The sequence below is a fragment of the Homo sapiens genome, chromosome 7, assembly GCF_000001405.40.
Source record: "Homo sapiens chromosome 7, GRCh38.p14 Primary Assembly".
Classification (NCBI taxonomy): domain Eukaryota; kingdom Metazoa; phylum Chordata; class Mammalia; order Primates; family Hominidae; genus Homo; species Homo sapiens.
Window position 1 is genome coordinate 145,469,268 of NC_000007.14, and position 4,686 is coordinate 145,473,953.

General features: G+C 38.1%; 1 annotated feature.

Annotated features, from left to right (window-relative positions):
• Nucleotides 2,035-2,235: a silencer, noted in NCBI's record as "peak6816 fragment used in MPRA reporter construct". NCBI's record gives its function as "represses an SCP1 promoter by STARR-seq MPRAs in K562 erythroleukemia cells {active_cell/tissue: K562}" and the evidence as "EXISTENCE:reporter gene assay evidence [ECO:0000049][PMID:32103011]".

Below are 4,686 nucleotides of genomic sequence, written 5' to 3' on the forward strand. Positions count from 1 at the left end.
GAGATAGGACCTTTATGAAGGTAATTAAAGTTAAATGAGATCTTAAGGATGGGATCACCTGGCTTCTGGTTTCACGTGGTGGCTGGGCTCTTTCTTGTGGTCCAGCTATATATGGAAATCTCAGTTTAGCAGGTGCCGTGGCCCCATATGGAGGCTGGGGGCCTCTGCAGAGGCCTAACCTCTATGGTGGCTTCTTTCTTCAGAAGGAGCTGGTTCTGTGAGAGCGGGTGTCTCAAGTCTCATGGGTTTCTCATAAGCTAGGAGTTTCTTGAGATGGCCTGGCTCAGCTGGGCCATCCGCTTCAACGGAGTCTTTACATCTCCCATACCACAGTGACCTGGCTACCTTGGATGCTCATCTGAGGGCTTGATAAGGGGTCACAGTGTAAAGCCATTTTGGAAGCCTTCGTTTCTCCATAAGGAACCTTATGTTCCTTCTGTTGAGTGCTTGCAGTTGACTCTGGAAGTCTGAATGTTAGAAGACACTTTCAGGGGACACTTTCAAGAAGAAAGGCCTGAGGGGTTGCAAGTCCAGAGGTATGCACAAGGTCATAGCTGTGGCTCTGATGTCAGTCCTCAGATGTGCATCCAGGCAAGCAGTGGGAGAAAGTGTCCAGAAGATGCTATCTGACAAAAAGCTCTTCAGAAAGCCAATTGCAGATCTGGAGACTTGTCAGCCTTAATTATGTGAACCAATTCCTTATAATAATTCTCTAGATTCTGTTTCTCTGAAGAGTCAGGACTAATACACTTCCCTGGGGTTGCACAGCTACCAAGTGAAACAGGAGAGAAGCAAATTCTCATTCATCTGGCTCCAAATTTCATGCTCTTTTTTATTGTACGTTTTATAAAACACTTATTAACTATGTAAATAATACTGATAGTAAATAGAAACATCAGAAGAACAGGTCAGAAATAATTAAAAAAGGAGAAATGTGCACAGGAGAATTAAGATATTTTCTCTTTATTAACACAGTTAAGTAGCACCATTTAGTTCTCAAGATTCTGTCAACAATTATTTGTTGGAATCTGAATTACTTTTTAAAAATTGGAAATATATTATTATCTTGCTACTGATTGGTACTTTGTTTCTGGTAATAAACCATCAAGGAAGAATAAAACCAGGTTTTTTCTTTGCATTTCTGAATTACTGGTTAATTATAAAATATTCCCTGCCAGATGTGATGATTGACTTTCTGAAGTTAAAATGATTTGCAATGCAGAAACTTGAAATCACATGAAAAATATAAACAATAAAAGCACTTACTTTAAAAAAAAAACTTCCCGGCTGGGCGTGGTGGCTCACACCTGTAATCCCAGCAATTTGGGAGGCCAAGACAGGCAAATCACTTGAGATCAGGAGTTTGAGATCAGCCTGGCCAACATGGTGAAACCCGTCTCTACTAAAAATGCAAAACATAGCCGGGCATGGTGGCATGCGCCTGTAGTACCAGCTACTTGGGAGGCTGAGGCACGAGAATCACTTGAACCTGGAAGACGGAGGTTACAGTGAGCTAAGATGTACCACTGCACTCCAGCCTGGGTGAGAAAGCATGACTGCCTGAAAAAAAAAACAAAAAACAAAAAAATAACTAACAATACAGCAAATAAAGAGATGACAAATATTAATTGTATACATCATAGTTTAGAAATTAAGTCCAGTATTTTCCACTTACTTCCTTTAGTTTGTTTTATTTAATGCAGGCAATAGACATATGAAGTAATTTTATGCCTGGTCTTTCTGATTATAGATATGTCACCCTGCAAATACAAGGATTATATTTTATGTACATATCTTCCTTTCACAGGCCTATGACCCATGCAGGGTGGCTTAGCAGTTTTATGTTGATTTAATACCTCAGCCAGCTAGCACCTACAAAAAAGTGAGTTATGAATATTAGGCATATATTTTAGAATCAATAAATAACTAGTAAGCCTGTGAAATACAATGATAAGTACCTAGCCACTCTGCAAGGTAGTAATAGGCTAAAATGAAAAAAAACAAAACCAAAGCAAAAAAATACAAGAACGTTTGGCCAAGAGAAAAATTGAAATTTGAGAAGACATTTCTTACCATAAACATGGTATAAGAATTTCACTTATCTTAAGTAGCACAATGTAGTTAAATTAGGACTGAGGAATGTAAGTTACATTAGTCCAAAGGAAGGAAATGGTGTCCAACAAAAGGATAAGCCTCTTGAAAAAGAAGTTTTCTGTTCCGTGTGTTTAGGTAGTGGCTCAGTAACTCTGCATCAAGGTGACTATATGAGGAATCCTTATGCCAGATGATTCAGTGAACCTTGAAAGTTTACTTCAGCTTGAAAATTTACGTTACATGTGACATGATCCTATGTCATCATTTGAAGTCATTTACAGACAGAGGTCATTTACAAACAGAGGTTTTCTGTCATTTATAAAGATCACTGGGCCATACTGTTTTCCATTCTCGAGTGAATTGTTTTATTTAACTTAAAATATTTCATTCTGACGTCTTCTAGAATACAATTTTGTCCTTAACTTGGTTTATGATTGTTAGTATTTATTTAGCCTAAGTTCCCTGTTCCCTCCTTTCATCTCCTCTCCATCCCCTGCCTCCCTGGACCATCTGTCATTTCTTCCTTCCCAGGGAAAACACATTTTCATTTTACAGTTATAAATACGGGGAGTAGAACTGGACTGTTGAAACTGAATGAGACAGATATTTTTAATAGCTGTTTCTATACCAGAGAAAGGACTTGGTTACTCTCCTTCTCCCTCTAGACGTTTCTTTCACTTAACTGACTTGATATTGTATATATATTTCATCTGAGGGAAAATTGGAAAGACCAGGAGACAGGGCAGAAATGATGCTGCTGCCAATTCATCTTCACTTGCACTTTTTTCATTGAGCCTGTCACAGGCTACTGGGAAAAAGAGACAAAGCTCCAGAGTGACAAATAGGCCCCATGATTATTTTCAACAAGTCACAAAAAAGTAGGACAAAATATCTTAATGTTTTCCTCTTTCCTTTCATCTTTCATTCAGCAGAGGTTTGCTGTCATTTATAAAGGTCACTGGGCCTGTGAGGAGACAGGCAAAGAAAAAGTTTGGTCCATCCCTCAAGCAGACTTTTAAATAGTGACTATATTGAAATAATAAAATAAGACCTTGAAACTAGAATATGTCTGAGTCTTTTAGGGGAATAAGTTTTATTAGGCTACCCACAGTCTTCTGTCTACTCAGGGTTATTGGGAGCATCAGATAATAGAGCATTTTCATGTGGAAAGAATGGGAATGTGAAAAACACATTTTTTTCTTGTTTCTCTGTAGAAATAGTTGATTAGTTTCAGACAAGAAGTCCTGAAGAAAAAAAAATTCATACGGAATACTCTTTGGCACTTAAGGTGTGTACTGATTTATTTAGTAACTTTTTCCTCCTCTTGGGAGGCATTGTGAAGTAATACACTCCTCAAACTGTAAATGTGACTGAAGCTACATGAATAAAAGATAGACTGAAAGGAGTATCTATAGCCACTTAGCTACAGCCACTTTAGGCTTAGAAGCGGGCATCATACCTGAAGGATTTATACTAATTGAAGACTTTTAGAACATGAATTGGATGCAGCGCCTCCAATTTACTCCTGAGGTAAGCCAGGACTGTACTTTTACTGGAAAACTTGTCACGATAAATTCTTACCTGACAACATGATGCAGCGGTGACAAGGGGAAACAGCTAATGACTCCTTACTGAATGCCTGCTCCATGAAAGGCACTAAGGAGGATGGGAGTCAGAAAACTATTCAAGGAACTTCTAGTCATCAATATTACATTTTTCGTCATCTTACTTGATACAGCAGCATTTGAAACAAGTCAGTACTCTTCGTTCTTGCAAACTCTCCGTCGAATTCCAACACCACCCTCTTTATCTCCTTTTATTTTACCAGCTACTCTTTGTCAGTCTCTTTATTACTGGTTCTTCCTCTACATTTTGGAGCACTCTAGGATCATTTTTGGGATCTTGTTCTCACTTGACTGTCAGCCCCTGGTTGATCTCATATAGACTGATTGCTTGAAGTGCCTTCTACATTCTGACATCTCCCATATTGTCATCTCTGCCTGGAACTCCAACAGAAGCCTGACTAATCCTCATTCCCATTTAGATGTTATAGGAATACATAAGTAAAAATTTTTAAAACAGAGTGATGATTTTTCCCAACATAGCAGTCCTTCTTTCAGGCTTTCCTGTATCTTTTAAATGACACTTTATTGTGCTTATTTCCCAAGGAAAATCCTGAAATTCATCTTTGAAACTTTTCTTTTTTTTTACCACCCACTCTAATTCAACTCACAAGATAATCCTGTAAGCTCTGCTTTCAGTATTATATTGAAAATCCTAGTATTTATCTCCTCCTTCTACCTCTAGTACTGCCATTAGTTTAGGTCTTTATCTGTTCTAACCTGGTGATCAGCATGGCTGGGTTTCTTATATTCCTCAGATCTCAGCCTAGATATTTCCCCTCCCTTTTCACTATTAACAAACTGTTTGTTGCTGTTTTTATACATGGAGCTTAGTTAATACAATTTTGGAAAATATGCTTTTATTTTGTTTTATTTTATTTTGTTATTGTTACTATAAGACCTACACGGGTATAGACATCATTTCTCTCATTCACACTGGGTTTCCAGCACCCAAAGTTGGCCTCAAAGT